The following is a 17,803-nucleotide window of genomic DNA, read 5'->3' as shown; positions in this document are numbered from 1 at the left end:
AAAAAGAAAGAAAAAAAAAAAGAAAAGACAGTGTCTTGCTCTATCACCCAGGCTGGAGTGCAGTGGCATGATCATGGCTTACTTTAGCCTTGACCTCCTGAGCTCAAGCAATCCTCCTGCCTTAGCCTCCTAAGTAGCTAGGACCACAGGTACATGCCACCTTGCCTGGGTAATTAAATTTTTTGTTTAACTATAGAGATGGGGGTCTCCCTATGTTGCCTAGGCTGGTCTCAAACTCCTAGGCTCAAGTGATCTTCCTGCCTCAGCCTCCCAAAGTGTTTGGATTACAGGTGTGAGCCACCATGCCTGGCTAAACTATTATTTGCATTTATCTTATACTGAATGTATTCCTAGGCCATGTTGTTTCTTCAGTTTCTTGTGGGATACCTTTTTCTTGTGTGTAAATATCTCTTCTGGTTTAGAAACAATTTGTTCCTTTTCAGCGAGGATCATCTCCATGTAGCAGGGGGATCTCTCATATGGGTTAATCTGACCATGAGCTCTGTAAATATGGTGTATATCTTGGCTTTGCTCAACTGAATGTGCTCAATGATCCAAGAATCTACCTCTAAACCCTGAAGTTCAGCATTGTTCTCTGCATTTTTAAGCACATGCAGCAAAAATTCAACACATTTTTGGGCCACCAATCCTGTGTCCAGCCCCATTGTTTGGCCTGGGCACACATGTCAGCTCCACCTTTGTAATGACGGAAAGGCACACAGTGCCTCTGAAAAGTGACATCTTTCAGGTACTTGGTGGTTTTTTGGGTATGCATACCTTGATGGCCTGCACAGTTACATGGGTGTTCTTAAAGCGAACATAAAGATTTGAGTCCCTTGGTTTGCATGATTTTGTGGAGTTTTCTGGGTCAAGGGATAGGCAAACCATTTTCAGAGATTACCCCTGGCCAAGAGGCTACAGAAAGAGCTTGAATTTTTTCTTGCATTCTGGTACCAACAATAACTATCAAGTAACAAAATAGAGAAAATGGAAGGCATAACAGCCAGATGGAGGGTTGGATGAGACAGCTTACTGTTTATAGAGTTTGGAGAACTGCATCTGGGCGTGAGGAGACCTAGGCCACGGGGCGCTCCTGCCTCCATGTGCTGGAGGGATAAACCCCAGTGCTTCTTCCTGCAGCATCTATTGCATTCAAAGATTAGCAGCCAAAAGACCTTTGTTTTTAGATTAAAACACATAGGTAGAGAAGTGGGAGGAAGCAAATGTGGCATGAAGTTTGGGAAGAGCCTCCCAAGGCTGTCTGCCTTGGAGGCGAGTGGACTGTGGAGGAGTCAGGTTAGGTGGCTCATGGGGTGGCTAGCTGGCGGGCTTTCATGGCCTCGTGTTCTCGCTGGGCCTGCCTCCTGGGAGGCATTTCTCATATGCCTCTCTGTCTAACAGGTTTCACTAAGCGCAGGAGTAGATGCTCCATCCTCTACAAAGGGTTTTCCCGAGTGACTGCCCTTTGACTCATTATCACCTCCTCTCCTTGGCTCTTATCAATTCCTGCCTTGCGCTGTGGGCACGTAAGCCCCAGTCCCAAGTCCTCTACTGGTTGATTCTCCTTGAGAGCGCAGTCCGAGTGTTGGTCCCACCTGCCGAGCACTCTGCCTCCATGGAAGCAGGATCTCAGTAAACACTGGAAGAAAGAAGGAAAGAATGAGAAGCTGCTAAACCCAACCTGTGGCTAAGGAGGTGGCTGATTTTACTTCTTTTTAGAAGTGAAAATCAAGACAGAGTTTAGCTTAGCTGGGGGGCGGGGGGCGGGGGGCGGGGGATGTATTTCCTGAAAGAAGATGAGAGGGAGGAAACTTAAATCTCTCTCTTTAAGATAAATTTCCTGGCAGGGCCCAGTGGCTCATGCCTGTAATCCCAGAGGCAGGCAGATCACCTGAGGTCAGGAGTTGGAGACCAGCCTGGCCAACATGGTGAAACCCCGTCTTTATCAAAAATACAAAAATTAGCCGGGTGTGGTGGCAGGCGCCTGTAGTCCCGCTACTCGGTAGGCTGAGGCGTAAGATTCGCTTGAACCTGGGAGGCGGAGGTTGCAGTGAGCCAAGTTCCCCCCACTGCACTCCAGCCTGGCTGACAGAGTGAGACCCTGTCTCAAAAATAAAATAAAATAAACTAAAAAAGATAAATTTCCTGATTACACATTGTAATACACATGTAATTCACATACAAGGTGAATTGTGGATTGCTTTAGCTTTGCCTGTTGCCCTTTTCATCAGTAATGCAGGCTAAATAATTACCCTCTTTGCTTTTTCCAGTTGTGCCAGCCCCAGTGTACTTCTGGCAATAAGGAAATGTTAATTGAGAATGAAAATAGAGTCATTAAATCCTTACATTAAATAATTATGGTGTGTTCTTTTAAGGACATCATGTTATAGATATGCAAATATGTTGCAATCAAATTATCAAACTTGCCCTCTAATTTCCAAAGAACTGTACTGTGACCCAGGGCCACATAAGGAGAATCTTAGACTCTTGTGGGCATCATGCGTTGATTTTGATGCTTCCCAAGTTTGTGCTGTGTCTGGGATTCTCTAGGGGCAGTTAGCTGCATCCAGGCCGTTTATGAGAAGTGTTTAGTAGAGCTGAGGTCAGCACAGTGCAAGTATCAGAAAGGCTCCTGGATATCAATTCCAGTTCTGGCCCTGATGTTCTTTGTAGTTTTAAGTCAAACAGGAAAATTTATCTGCATATTAGTTCTCCTATTTAACAGTAGAGAAGATACTATTTCTCTGTCAAATATCTTAAAACATGAATACAAAGAAACTTTAGACACAAGGGGTTATTAATAGTTTGTTGTGTTTCTGTTCATGGGGAGGAGGGGATGTAAATTTCAGTTCTGATTCACAAAGGAGATTTTGCAGAGAATCTTTACAATCATACTTTGGGCTTCCTTTCTCCAGTCTCCTCTGTTCTTCGGATAATCTTATTACCTTTTTGGTCATTCTAAGCACTACATGGATTAGTTCAGTATATAGATTATGGCCGTATAAACCTCATTCTCGCTCTTGGCAGATAACCTAACTCTGGTTTTACTGAAAAGATTAAAGCTAATTTGGAAGAATTGAACTCGCCCATTCCTCTCAGTTTTGTGTTGATGTATCTTCATCTCTGTGGCTGCCTCCCAGTTGCAGGCAGAGGCAGCCATCTTTCTTCCTCCTCCAGAGCTAACCCTTTCCCTCGTGCCCTTGATGCCCCCTCCACCTCTTCCTATTACCACTACTTGGCACCAGCCACATATTAGGGCTCCCTTGCAACCACTTTCAAACAAGGCCAGGCTTTATTCCATTTCAAAAAGCACACAAGAAAACCAAAATGCTTTTGCCTGACCTTGCTGTCTCTTCTAGTCTATTTATTGCTTTCCTTTTGCAGCAAGACATCTCAATTTCCTCTTTCCTCATAGCCCCTTAGTTTTGCAGTCTAGCTTCCTTTCTCTGTCACTCTATTGAAATTGTGTCCTCAAATGTCACAGTGGTTCCCTTGTAACTTAATCTGAAGAGGGTGGTGTTTTAGCCTCATTCTTCTTATTTTCTCAGCAGCATCGATTTTCTTTCTGCCTTTTTCTTTCATCTTCCACTCTGACATAGTTCTCTGGTTTATATTTTTCTGTTTATCTCCTGGGTTTTCTAGACCAGTCCAGTGCATAGCATCATGGCTGAGTCCAAGCTCTTACATTAGCCTGCCTGTAGCTGAATTTTAACTGCCACAAATTAACTGCATGACCTTTGTCAAGGTAATCTCCCTGTGCCTCAGTTTCTCCAGCCTTAAAATGGAGACTATAGTAGGAGTATTAACCTTTGGTTTGATGTAACAATTGAATGAGATAGTCTATGTAATATTTATCACAACATTTGGCACACAGAAGTTTTAATTGAATGTTATCTATTAGCATAACAATAAGTGCCTCTGTCTTTGAAAATATAACTGTTCTTTTTTCCTTTCAGGACATATTTTCTCCCTTTATGACCCAATGCAGAGCGAGACGATAACTAATTATTGTTAAATAGATTTATGCACGTGTTTGGAGAGTCAGGGAAGGAGGGCTGATGAGAGAGAGAGGCTCCTAAATTCTGCAGGTGCTGTAATTCCCCGGTTTTAATTTTGCTTTGCTTTTTACCAATAAATCATTTTGAGAGCTTAAATCGCTCCTTTCGGGACATACGGTGTTTCTTGAGCAGGAAGGGACGTCAACGGTTAAAGCTCTTGTTGTTGGTGCAACAATCAGCCACGATGAGGCTGCTTGGCATGGAACACAGTGTCCCATCCTTAGATTAAATGCGCTCTAACAGGATTATGTAAGGAAGGAGGCAGCCACGGCGGCGGCTTTGTGCAGGGGTCGCCTGGAACCCGTCCATTGAGTCATGCCGCCATCTCGCGGCCGCATGGGGAACGGGCCTTGGCAGGGAGGTTTTGTTTGGTGCAGAGGAAAGGTCCCCAGAATTGCCATCTGCAGAATTTCTGCAGAAAGTGTCGACCAGGCTGGCATGAGGGAAGAAGGAGGGGAAATCACAGCAAGGAGAAGGAAAAACACCTCAGCATGGCGTGGGGAAGCAAAGGTAGCAAGTCATGCTTGTGCCACCCTACAATATTCTTGTCGGTTTCATTCCAGAACAATTCCCTCCCCTGCCCAAATACTCTATAAACTTTGACTTTCCCCTCTTATTTGATTCTCACTTTCCAACACTCTGTGCCGACCCGTTATCCTGGACAGACCCTGCGTCACCTCCTAATTTCCCTTCTTGTATGTTAGGAATTCAGGGCTGGGAAAATTTAGCCGAGTCATCACATTTGGCTACTACCCGGGAAAGCAGCCCTCCCGAGTCAGGAACGGGCTCCGGTTCATCACGTGGCAGCCGCCTGCAGGAGCCGCAGGTAAGGGACACTGTTGGCCGGGGCAGCCAGATGCAGCGGGAGGCGTCCTGGCTGCACTTGGGTTCCCAAAACCTTTCTGGAATGTCACTCTGGTCACCAGTATGGGAGCTCGACCTCTAGGGGGTAGGATTTGGTAATGTTCTCTTTGTAAAACTGAAGTGGGCAATGTTGACCAGGAAGCTGATTTTGTTTGCTTTTCACAAACTATGTTAATCGATCAATAGTTGGGTTATAGATCATTCTATTGTCAGCAATATAATAGAATGGCAGGGACTCAGGGAAGATATTGACACTTTAAACTGAAATGTCTATGCGGTCTGTCTTCCCTCGTTCAGCTCACAGGACATTGCCTGGGAGCTGAACCTAGGCTTATAGCACAGTGACTGAAAGGATATCTTTCAGAGTCCTAAAATCTGCTCTGCCAGTATTTGACTTTGAGTTAATTGTTCAACATTACTTTAAGCCCAGTTTCTTCTTTTCTAAAATGAAGACGATTTTTTTAATATTAATTTTTTTTTTCATTTTTTTGAGACAGGGTCTTGTTGTGTTGCCCAAGCTGGGGTGCGGTGGCCCGATCTCGGCTCACTGCAACCTCTGTCTCCTGGGTTCAAGTGATTCTTCTGCCTCAGCCTCCTGAGTAGCTGGGACTACAGGTGTGCACCACCATGTCTGGCTAATTTTTGTATTTTTAGTAGAGGCGGGGTTTCACCATGTTGCTCAGGCTGGTCTTGATCTCCTGACCTCAAGCAATCTGCCTGCCTCAGCCTCCCAAAATGCTGGGATTTATAGGCATGAGCCACCACACGCAGCCTACTATTGTCATTTATAAGTTCAGTGTTGGAAGGATTTTTAAGCAATCTAACAGTTTCTTCTGCTCATTTTACAGATGAGATAAAATCAAAGTGTTTTATAATTTTGGCCTTCATAATATACCTTTTGGCTTCAATAAATAAAAGGATTATTGACCAAAAATCTAATATTTTGAGTCAGAATCATTCAAGTTTGCAAAAGCAGATGGGAGTCAGTGTAAAGCATAAAACAGTCTTCTAAGTTACCCCAAATCCATGTATCTTCAGTAAGATCAGGTAGAGCACAACCTGGCAATGAACACAAGCCCCAGCCGGGGTCTTGGGGTTCGTGAAAACCAAGGGGTCTGCACATAGCTCACTCAGGGGTATGTTCCAGAGGAAGAAGAATTCGTTGAAGAACGTGTGCAGAGATGAGTAAAACTATAAGCAGAGCTGTGTCTTTGGCTTCCAAATGGCCAGGTGACCTCCTGGTCTTGGTCATACAAGGCTAGGCATATGTGGTGACCATAGAAACCCACCAGAAAATGTAATTCTCCTAGGAAAGAATGCCTGTCTTACGGGTGAGAGGGCTTGGAGAAGGAGTTAGAACATCCTAAGAAATCTTGGAATCTGTATACTACGTTCATTCACAGTGTGTTTAAAACGATCCTCTCTGAGATCCTGTGTTGCAACAGATGAGAATGATCCTTTTGTTTTTGTTGGATTGGGTGTAAAGGACTTCATGTTTTAGAAAGGAGGGAGGCACTGCAGGCAGGAAGGAGGGCATGGGGCGGGGGGTGGGAGTTCTTTAAGAAGCTGCAAGTACAAGAAACACAAGGCTCCAGCGAGGGGCCTTGTGACCTTGATTTAACTCCTAATTTGTTTTATTTTTTAATGAAACTTTTAACTGAAGAATAGCATCCTAGAAAAGTTGCATAAATCATAGACAAACAGCTGCTGTGATTTTAATTTTATTTTTAAAGTGAAATTCAAAGTGCTTCACAAACATATGGTATCAATCTCTTGTTCTCTGCAAAGACACTGACCTCTTTCTCTTTCTCATCCCTCGGCCCCAGCTCCCTCCCTGACTTCCATGGTTTCTGCTACTGCATGGGCTCGGATTAGCTTTATTTAATTTCCAGGATAGAGGTTCTTCTATACCAACAGGCGTGTAGCATCACCAGGCACCACATACAAAAAGTGCAATGCTCAGGCCCGACACTCCCTGAGATTCAGATCCAATAATTCTGGGGCAGGCCTGGAGTTTATTGTTATTATTATTATTTATTTTTATTTTTTAGAGACAGGATCTTGCTCTGTCAACCCAGCTGGAGTGCAGTGGCGCAATCATGGCTTACGGCAGCCTCAGACTCCTGGGCTCAAGGGATGCTCAGCCTCCCAAAGTGCTGGGATTACAGGTGTGAGCCACTGCACCCACCTCTGGCTTGGAGTTTGTAACACGTACCCCGGGGAATTCTGATATAGAAGGTGCAACCAACACTGAGAAATGCTCTACTTTTCCTGCACCCAAGATTGAGATGATCCCTGACAACCTGTAAGATTAAACCACATCACAGTTTTTCTCTTGTGATGGGGAGGTAGGGTTTGCTAGAAGAGGTAGTGAGCTCAAGATGTAACTCTGTGAGTTTCTCTAATCACAGATCGAATCTTCCAGGTGGAGCCACTCAGTTCTCATTTACTTTGCCGTGCATGGGAGCATGACCTTGAGTTCTACTTACGCCTATGAAGGCGATGCTGGCTGCTTGGTTTCTGAAGCCTGGGGAAGTTGCCTTGGCTGGCTAAAGCCCTTAGCTGTTATGCTAATCTTGCAAGAGAAGTCAAGCAGAAAGAACAGGGTAGCAGGTTTGTTTTCTTTACCAATGGAAAGGAGCTTCAGGCATGATTTTCTTATGCCTTGGAACAGAGATACCAGCTGTTTTATAATGAGGCCCACACCCTCCTTGGTGAGTGGGCCCTCAGCTTGAGGGAGTTTTGCTTCTTTTATTTTGATTTTGAAATTTGAGATTTTTTCATTTGAAGGTAATCTTAATGCTATTAAATTCATAAATATGCTAATTTAAATACCCAATCCTATTTATTTAAAATAGACGTTGCAAGCGTACAAATATTCTCTCCACATGTCAGCACCCATTTAGATCATGGTTTGGAAATGGGGAGAATAGAATTCCCTTAAACTGCAAGTCAGCTGGTGTTTCTTTACAGCTAACGTTAGCAAAATTTATGCAAAGCAGTAATTCACAATGATCTTCTTTATTTGTTAACCCACAAGGAAACACCCTCAAAACTATTCTGTTAAAGTGTCTGTTCAGAAATGTGGAAAAACTGAACTATATAAATATTGAAAAGTTAAAAATTCCTTAATTTTTTATTCTTGGAACCACTACCACAATTTACAGGGCAATATACCTGATGTAATGAAAAGAAAAAGAAAAAGAAAAAGCTATAGCAGATAAAAGACCATAGGGATGTTCATCTAGCCAATGCTACATTGCATTATCAATAGCTGCACTTTTTGCAAACTGTGGCTATGACAGTCCTGAACAAGAAAGGTTTTCTGTTTAAGCTGCAGTAACTTTTCTAACTATGTATCATCGTTTCTTCCGTGGCAGATTTTTAGTTCCTAATGCATTTGGGACAACTGTTTCAAGGTAACTTGCTGCTTTCCCAAAACTTCTTGTTCTTTCTCCTGCTAAGAACTGTATCCCTTTTCTGCTGTTTTTATTTTTTTATTTTTTTTGGAGACAGAGTCTCACTCTACCCCCCATGCTGGAGTGCAGGGGCATGATCTTGGCTCATTGCAACCTCTGCCTCCCGGGTTCAAGCGATTCTCGTGCCTCAGCCTCCCAAGTAGCTGGGATTACAGGCACCCGCCACCATGCCCAGCTAATTTTTGTATTTTTAGTAGAGACGGGGTTTCACCATGTTGACCAGACTGGTCTCGAACTCCTGACCTCAGGTGATCTGCTCACCTCGGCTTCCCAAAGTGCTGGGATTACAGGTGTGAGCCACCGTGCCCAGCCTTCTTTTCTGCTGTTTTTAGAACCTTCTGTTACCATATCCACCATTTCCACTACCAGATCCATAACGGTCACCACAGGGACTGCCTGAACTTCTTCCACCAAAACTGCCCCCTTTCATGCATTCATAATTTGATCGCTGTTTCCAAGATCATTATAGTTTCCACCACCACCATAGTTACCACCACCAAAATTTCAATGTAACCATCATATCATCCACCACTGCCACCATATCCACTACCTTGGTTTCCATATCCTGGTCCACCACCACCACGGCCCCCTCTACTATTACGACCAGGATCACCACCCATAGTGGCTACCATCACCTCCAAATCCATTCTATCCACTGTCATCTCCTGCATAACTGTCTCTGCTACCATCACCTTCACCACCATAGCCTCCTTTCCACCAAAGTTCCCACCACGGCAAAAATTATCTCCACCACCTCCAAAGTTTCCTCCATGACCAGCCAAGTTGCCAGATCCACTTCCATGACCTCTTTATGACCTGGTAGACTCCATCTCATTTAGAAAGGACACTTTTTACTTCACAATTATGCCCATTAATGGCGTGGTATATCTGAATAACAATTTCATCATTTGTTTCATGATCATCAAAAGTTACAAGAGCAAATCCTCTCTGTTTTCCACTCTGCCTGGCTTCCATAACTTTTTTATTTTTTATTATTATTTTTTGAGACGAAGTCTTGCTCTATCACCCAGCTGGAGAACAGTGGCATGATCTCAGCTCACTGCAACCTCTGCCTCCTGGGTTCAAGCAATTCTCCTGCCTTAACCTCCCAAGTAGCTGGGATTACAGGCACGTGCCACCATGCCCAGCTAATTTTTGTATTTGTAGTAGAGACGGGGGTTTCACCATGTTGGTCAGGCTGGTCTCGAACTCCTGAGCTCAAGTCATCTGCCCACCTCAGCCTCCCAAAGTGCTGAAATTACACGCGTGAGCCACCGTGACTGGTTCATAACTTCTGTGGTTTCAATCTTGTCACTCTTTTCAAAGGAGTCTCTCAAATTATATTCTTCTGTCTCTTCCTTATTACTTCCCGACAAACATTTTCTTTACTGTTGGATGGGCACCAGGCTTTACAGAACCCTCTCTAGAGACAGCTGTCTTTGGTTCCGCTATATGCCCATCAACCTTATGTGGTTGAGCACACTTTGCTGCATGAGCGTAAGTCACAAAACCAAGGCCCCCGAGATGTTTTGTTTGGGAGTTTCTCCTTACCACACAGTCTGTGGGTGTGCCCCATTCCTCAAAATGGTCTCTTAAACGGGCCTCTGTAGTTTCAAAGCTCAGGCCACCAAGAACAGTTTTCTCAACTGCCCTGATTCCCGTGGGTCATGGCTCTCCTCCCCGCCCCCACCTTCACTGGCTGCAGGGGCAGATGGTGATGGCCCGAGTCGGGCTGGGGGCAATCGGATGACAGCTTTGCCTCCACTTTGAGTTTTTTTTTTTTTGAAGGTAATCTTAATGCTATTAAAATTCACAAGTATGCTAATATAAATAACCAATCCTATTTGTCTAAAGTAAGATTGTGTTCAACCCCTCGTTCAACATGGGACAGGAGTTTTACGTCTTTTAGTCTCCCTGTACCCATTGTCAGGCACCTGTCGGCTCTGATCTGGAGCATCTGACCTGAGAATCATTAGGTTCTATTGAAACATGAAGTTGTTAAAAGAAAAGCCCCAGAAAGAAACAACCAAGCATGTTTTTTGACTCTATGTGAATTTAAAATTTTTAAATTTTATTTTAGTTTCAGGGGTACATGTGTGGGTTTGTTATAAAGGCAAATTGTGTGTTGTGGGTGTTTGAAGTACAGATTGTTTTGTCACTCAGGTAATAAGCATGGTACCCAACAGGTAGTTTTTCCATCTTCACCCTCCTCCCACCCTCCAACCCTCAAGTAGGCCCTGGTGTCTGTGGCCTTCTTTGTGTCCACAAGTACTCAACATTTAGCTCCCACTTATAAGTGAGAACATGAGAACATGCAGTACTTGGTTTTCTGTTCCTGTGTTAGTTTGCTTAGGATAATGACCTCCAGCTCCATCCTTAATGTGAATTTTAAAATCCCTTTATTCTGGAGAGAAGCTACACTGTACTGCTGTGGTTTCTTTCTGTTAATGCAGTGGTTCTCCAAGTGTGGTCACCAAACCAGCCACATCCCAGTGTCCCCTGGGAGCTTGTTAGAAATAGAAATTATTAGGCCCTGCTGCCGATGCACAGAATCAGAAACTCTGGGGCCTAGGCCTGGGAATGTGTGTTTTAACAAGTCTTCCGGGTGATTCTGATGCACACTGAAGTGTGAGAACCACTGGTTTAATGAGGAAGCCTGTGGGAATACCTTCAATCAAACAGAGAGAATCTCAGTTCAGCCAGGTAACTGATGGAAAGAGAAACTCTTGCTAATTGGTGGGGGTGCAGTTTTCTGGGGTTTTATTTTGGTGCCCCATTGCAGTGGTGAGAAGATTCCTGTTGGCCAGATATGAAGGAGATATAGGTCCTGGAAGTTAGGCGGTGAGGGAGTGTTTTCATGGACCTCTCCAGAATGGAGCAAATCCACCTGGGGTTTCATGGACCAAATCCACCCAGGGAGCAAGGATGGCAGAGAAACCGAGTCCCCATGCACCTCCAGATCAAGTGAGTCAAATGTTCCAAAGTACAGCTGTTGAAAAGGGTCAGGTTGCATCAGAGAGGAGTGTGTCTTGGTTTGGCCAGGACTTTTCCAGCTTTAGCAATGAAAGTCCCATGTCCCTGGAAGCTCCCCAGCCCTGGGTAAACCAAGGCAGTTTGTCACTGGTCACTGTAGTTCAGTGACTGCCTGCTGGAATTACTTGGTGGGCTTTAAAAAATACTGATGCCTGGGTCTCCCTCCAGAGATAATGGCAGACTTAGTCTGGAGGTTTAGAAGTTCCTCAGGTGATCCTAATGTAGCCAGGGTTAAGAATGGCTGCAGCTGCTTGCCTGCCATCTCTCCTATTAAAAAAAATAAAACACAAAACACATACAAGTCAATGGTTCTAATGCAGTTGAACCCCTACCATGTATTATATACAAATATTAACTCAAAATGGATCAATGACCTAAATAGAAATGTGAAAACTATAAAACGCTTAAAAGAACATATAGGGGTAAATCTTCATGACCTTAGATGTGGCAATAGATTCATAGATTTAACACTAAAAGCATGAGTAAGAACAACAAAAATAGACAAATTGGACTTCATTAAAAATAAAAACTTTTCTGCACAACAGACGTTATCCAGAAAGTGAAAAGACAGCCCACAGAATGGGAGAAAATATTTGTAAATCATACGTCTGGTAATAGTCTAGTATTCAGAATATATAAAGAATTCTTACAACTCAGAAAAAGACAAACAACCCAACTGACAATGAGCAAAGGATTTGAATGGAAATTTCTCCAAAGAAGACATAGAAATCACCAACAAGCACACGAAAAGATGCTTAGCCTCATTAGTCATTAGGGGAATGCAAATAAAAACCACAAAGGATAGACCACTTCATACCTACTAACATGGATCTAGTAATAATAACAATAATAATGGAAAATAAATGTTGGTAAGGATGTGGAGAAATTGGAACCCTCATACGTTGCTGGTGGGTATGTAAAATGGTGTAACCACTGTGGAAAACAGTTTGGTGGTTCTTCAAAAAGTTAAACATAGAATTACCATATGATGGCCAGGCTAGGTGGCTAACGCCTGTAATCCTGACACTTGGGAGGCTGAGGTAGGCAGATCACTTGAGGTCAGGAATTCAAGACCAGCCTGGCCAACATGCTGAAACCCCGTGTCTACTAAAAATACAAAAATTATCCAGGCATGGTGGCGTACGCCTGTAATCCCAGCAACTCAGGAGGCTGAGGCAAGAGAATCCCTTGAACCCAGGGTCAGAAGTTGCAGTGAGCTACTGCATTCCAGCCTGGGAGACAGAGTAAGACTCTGTCTCAAAAAAAAAAAAAAAAAAAAAAAAAGAATTACCACATGACTCAGCAATTCTACTCCTAGGTATATGCCCCAAATAAATGAAAGCAGATACAAATAGTTGTGCACAGATATTCATAGTAGCATTATTCAAAATAGCCAAAACAGGGAAACAGCCCAAGTGCCTATCAACAGGTGAATGGATAAACAAATTGTGGTATAACCATACAATTGAATACTATTCAGCCATAAAAAAGAATGAAATACTGATACATGCTACAACATGGATGAACCTTGAAAACAATATACTAAGAAAAAGAAGCCAGTTATAAATGATCACAATAATGTATGATTCTATATATGTGAAATATTCAGAATAGGTAAATCCATAGAGACAGAAGGCAGATTAACATTGCCTGAGGCTGGGGGAGGATGGAATATGGAATGAATGCCTAATGGGTGCAGGGCTTTCTTTTGGGGTGATGAAAAAGTTTTGATATTAGAGGTGGTGGTTGCAGAACATTGTTTGAATGACTAATTGTATGTTACATGGATTTCACCTAAATTAAAAGAAAATCATCAGGTTACTCATATCTACAAAGTACAATTGAAATCAAGCTCTTTAGAAGTCAGAGTCCTCCACAGCTGGCCTTTAGCTAGCCTCTGTAGCCTATCTTCTACCTCTCTCCTACTATTTTAATTGTTACTGCTACCATCACCATGATACTGCATGGGATCCCGTTGACTCCCAATGTGTCATATACGCTCTGCCTCTGCTTCCAAGCTCACCAGTGTGCTTTGGGAAGTCTCCACCAGCTGTTCCAGCCCACGGTCCTCTCTCGACTTCAGTGGCTCTTAACTTTATGCCCCTCACATGTATACATATGCAACAAACCTGCACGTTGTGCGCATGTACCCTAGAACTTAAAGTATAATAATAATTAAAAAAACAAACTTTATGCCCTTGCCACTCAAAGCATAGTCCCTGTTTGGAATCCCCTGGGAGCTTGGAAGAAAGGCAGAATCTCGAGTTCCCGCTGCAGACACACTGAACAAGATCTTCAAATTATTTTAGTGCATATTAAAGTTTGAGAAGTGCTGGTTTGTACTAGTTGGACCCAAGTCAAGCTGTGATCAGAATCACTTGGTAAGCTACATTTATGTATATTATATTCTTTCAATAATACATGCGCATGGTAAAATTACAAGCTGTACATATACAAAAAAGGTGAAAAAAGTAAGTTTCCCTCCAATTTCAGTTCCTCGGATTTCCAGCCCAGAGGCCATCTCTCTTAATGTTTCTTGTGTATTTTTCCTTCTCCTATGCATATGCAAGCATATACGTACATATGTATTTCCTGCCCTCATTCTGATTTTACACGAGTAGTAACATACTGTACACATGGATTTGCACTTTTCACTCAACAGTATATCGTGGAGATTATTTTAGCACATGTTGATCTGCCCAATATTCTTCTTAGTGACTGCATAGCAGTCGTTGTAAAGTTGTATAGTTGTAATATATGTAATTTATTTATGTTCAAACCATTGGCTGGGGACAGTGGCTCAAGCCTATAATCCCAACACTTTGGGAGGCTGAGGCAGAAGGATTGCATGAGCCCAGGAGTTTGAGACAAGACTGGACAACGTAAAAAAAAATAAAAATTAATTGGGCGTGGTGGCATGCACCTGTGGCCCCAGCCACTCAGAGGCTGAGGCAGGGGGACTGCTTAAGCCTGGGAGGTAGAAGCTGCAATGAGCTGTGTTCCTGCCACTGCACTCCAGCCTGGGAGACAGAGCAAAACCCTGTCTCAAACCCCTGCCCCACTCTCCCTTCCCCTGCCCAAACCATTAAAGAACACAATATTGTTTATTACAGTGCTATGGTGGCTATCCTTTGTGTATATCTTTGAACATATGATGTGTTCATATCTATAGGATTAAAGAATTGCCTATTACGTGTGCTTTAAAGTGGTAAGAGATAGTGCCAAATCCTCTCTAAAAAGAGGTACTGATTTACATTCTCAGAGAACTTTTAAAAACACAAAATTTGAGGCTACTCTGTATTTCAATTCATGAGAACTCTGTGGGCAGAGCCTGGGAATCTGCGTTTTACTTCTTTGGTGACAGTGATAAAAGAAATCTGCAGAATGGAGTGGGGAACTAGAGGGCAGATCCCCCTTGACCCCCAAGCTGCTATTCCTCTTGGGCTGCCTTGGGTTGCTATTCATCTGTGTGACTGTTCTATCTCACCACAGTGGAAGGTTCCTAAAGACAGGCCTCAGGATTGCTGCCTCTTTATATTCTTACCCCAGCACAATGCATTGTACAACAATGTTTGTTGATGATGAGTGTCTGTGGCGCATGTGATTTTGTTTTGTTTTGTTTTTAGTTCCATGGACCAAAGACAGAGGAGAATCCTGGGCCAGCCCCTTTCCATCCCTACTTCCCAGCCCAAGCAGAAAAGGACATCAATGATATCTTTCTTTTCCAAGGTCTGACACAAAATATTATGAACAAATTTCTCCTCCCAGCAGCTGTTTTGTAAGATGTATGTTTGCTTGGTCTGTGGTTAGTTAGGCCTGCTCCACTGAAGTTCCTTCTGAAAAAACTTTGATGACAGTTTTTTTTTTTTTTTTTTTTTTTTTTTTTGAGACGGAGTCTCGCTCTGTCGCCCAGGCTGGACTGCGGACTGCAGTGGCGCAATCTGGGCTCACTGCAAGCTCCACTTCCCGGGTTCACGCCATTCTCCTGCCTCAGCCTCCCGAGTAGCTGGGACTACAGGCGCCCGCCACTACGCCCGGCTAATTTTTTTGTATTTTTAGTAGAGACGGGGTTTCACCTTGTTAGCCAGGATGGTCTCGATCTCCTGACCTCATGATCCACCCGCCTCGGCCTCCCAAAGTGCTGGGATTACAGGCGTGAGCCACCGCGCCCGGCCGACAGTTCTTTTAACATGGATAGGATGTTTACAGGATGACAGGAAGATAAGTTGAGAATAATTTAACTTGCTGCTAACTCAATAATACAAATATGGAATGAGGCCGGGTGTGGTGGCTCACCTCTGTAATCCCAGCACTTTGGGAGGCTGAGGCAGGCGGATCACTTGAGCTGAGGAGTTCTAGACCAGCCGGCAACGTGGCAAAACCCTGTCTCTACCAAAAACACAAAAATTAGCTGGGCATGGTGGCATGCACCTGTAGTCCCAGCTACTCAGGGCTGAGGTGGGAGGATCGCTTGAGCCCAGGAAGTAGGGGCTGCAGTGAGTTGAGATCATGCCACTGCACTGCAGCCTGGGCGACAGAGCGAGACGCTGTCTTAAATTAAAAAAAAAAAAAAGATAAGATAAAAAAGGAATGAACTGTAATGAAAATCCAGGAATACTAATGAAGCTTTGAAATCACCAAATCTCATCCATAGCACCACTGAGATAGCTGAATCTCAAGCCAGTCTGCCCCTCTAGGCCCCTTTCTAAGGATGGTAGGGAGGTGGCTTTTGTCTTCTTTGATCTTGTCTGGATATTTCGTCATCTTGATTCTGACTCTAGCACATGTTGCTGTCTTCTGGGTCCTGCTGCACACCAGGGTCTTCCTGCATGAGAGCTCATAGGCTTGCCACAAAGGCTCAGAGACTAGCCTATCTCTTGCCCCATCCCTGGCCCTGCAATTACTTAGAGTTTGGTGTTTGTGTTTGTTTGTTTGTTTGTTTTTGAGACAGAGTCTCGCTCTGTTGCCCAGGCTGGAGTGCAATGGCGTGATCTCAGCTCACTGCAACTTTCGCCTCCCAGATTCAAGCAATTCTCCCTGCCTCAGCCTCCCAAGTAGCTGGGATCACAGGCATTCGCCACCATGCCCAGCTAATTTTTTGTATTTTTATAGAGACGGGGTTTCAGGGTTTCGCCATGTTGGCCAGGCTAGTCTCGAACTCCTGACCTCAGGCGATCCGCCTGCCTCGGCCTCCCAAAGTGCTGGGATTACAGGCATGATAGAGTTTAGTTCTTAAAGTACAGGTGTCTGCATCAGACACACAGTGTTCCCCAATTTGCATTATTCATGCATTTCTCTTCCTGTTCTTAACTGCATGCTCAGATGCATGCATTCTGGAGTTGGGACATCCTTTAAGTGCCCTGAAATGTTTGTAGATGTGTACTACATCAGTGCTGAAATGTTTGTAGATGTGTACTAGATCAGTGCTGAAATGTTTGTAGATGTGTACTAGATTAATCCTGAAATGTTTGTAGATGTGTACTAGATTAATCCTGAAATGTTTGTAGATGTGTACTAGATCAGTGCTGAAATGTTTGTAGATGTGTACTAGATGTTTGCAGATATGCTTTGCTAATTGTGTCAAGTGCTATTGAGAGGTTGAGTAAGATGACTACTGAGAACTGACCCTTGGAATTAGTCATTTGGCAGGGTAGGGGTGAGGGGACATTAGCCTGATTGCAGAGGGTTCAAGAGGCAATGGGAGGAGACAAACGGGAGAAAACAAGTATAGATGTCTTTCAAGGCATTTGGCTACAAAGGAGAGCAGAAAAATGGGAAAGAGCTGGAGAAGAAGGGGTAAAGGGAGCTCTTTGAGGAGTAACGGCACACCTTTCCCTGTGAAACAGATCCCTATTCCCACATCACATCAACACTGATCAAGTCCTCTTTTTTTCAACTTCTATCACACCCATAGCTGCTCTAGAGCCTCTCCCCTTAATCTCCTAAACCTACCTCAACACCAGCCTGCACTATCTTTATTGCCCTCTTTCTCCATCAATTTCTTCGTTATGTAGACCAAATGAGTACATTTCCAACAAAACCCAGCCGTCTTTAGTAGGAGAAAGAAGGGGTAAAATTGAGCAGGCAATCACGGGATTTTCTTTAGAGGGAGAGATTGGGGTTGGGATTGGTATGACTCTGAACACTCCCAAATTAATACATTTTTGACCCATCACCCAGGTCTCTTGGAAACTGAGGTTCCAGAAGCGGGAGCCTCTGAAGAATGTGTTTTTCATCTTGGCAGAAAGAGCTCGGGACCCCAGTGCTAAAAAGCGTCACATGGCAATGAGAAACTTGGGAACCATGGCCTATGAAGCCCCTGACAAGGTAGGGAAGGAGAGTGGGGCTCAGCCAGCTCCCCAAGCCTCT

General features: G+C 43.8%; 1 protein-coding gene and 2 pseudogenes across 12 annotated transcripts in view, besides 2 other annotated features; 1 reads left to right on the top strand and 2 right to left on the bottom strand.

Moving 5' to 3' along the window:
* The window catches only part of MRO (maestro), a 30,251-nt gene that overhangs the window by 916 nt on the left and 11,532 nt on the right, over nucleotides 1–17,803 (top strand). For 2 of the 12 annotated variants that reach the window (NM_001369515.2, NM_031939.6), the window contains exons 1-4: nucleotides 4,449–4,568; nucleotides 4,763–4,884; nucleotides 15,061–15,163; nucleotides 17,615–17,761. In NM_001369515.2, the coding sequence (NP_001356444.1) occupies nucleotides 15,065–15,163; nucleotides 17,615–17,761 (246 nt within the window). In that variant the 5' untranslated portion in view covers nucleotides 4,449–4,568; nucleotides 4,763–4,884; nucleotides 15,061–15,064. Of the gene's footprint in view, nucleotides 1–4,448; nucleotides 4,569–4,762; nucleotides 5,008–15,060; nucleotides 15,164–17,614; nucleotides 17,762–17,803 lie in introns of those variants that run through there. The other 10 variants (XM_011526226.4, NM_001369508.2, NM_001369511.2 and 7 more) reach the window with 6 other exon arrangements.
* On the bottom strand, nucleotides 361–888 carry RPL17P46 (ribosomal protein L17 pseudogene 46; annotated as a pseudogene).
* Nucleotides 4,131–4,764: an enhancer, noted in NCBI's record as "H3K27ac-H3K4me1 hESC enhancer chr18:48346071-48346704 (GRCh37/hg19 assembly coordinates)". NCBI's record gives its function as "activates a minimal SCP1, AML or CMV promoter by ChIP-STARR-seq in naive H9 embryonic stem cells {active_cell/tissue: H9 hESC(naive)}" and the evidence as "EXISTENCE:reporter gene assay evidence [ECO:0000049][PMID:30033119]".
* Nucleotides 4,245–4,294: an enhancer, noted in NCBI's record as "active region_13321". NCBI's record gives its function as "activates an Ori minimal core promoter by ATAC-STARR-seq in GM12878 lymphoblastoid cells {active_cell/tissue: GM12878}" and the evidence as "EXISTENCE:reporter gene assay evidence [ECO:0000049][PMID:35858748]".
* Nucleotides 8,926–10,077, bottom strand: HNRNPA3P16 (heterogeneous nuclear ribonucleoprotein A3 pseudogene 16; annotated as a pseudogene).

The sequence above is a fragment of the Homo sapiens genome, chromosome 18 (assembly GCF_000001405.40).
Source record: "Homo sapiens chromosome 18, GRCh38.p14 Primary Assembly".
NCBI lineage: Eukaryota > Metazoa > Chordata > Mammalia > Primates > Hominidae > Homo > Homo sapiens.
Note: the sequence above shows the minus strand (reverse complement) of the source record. Positions and strands in the feature narration are given on the sequence as shown.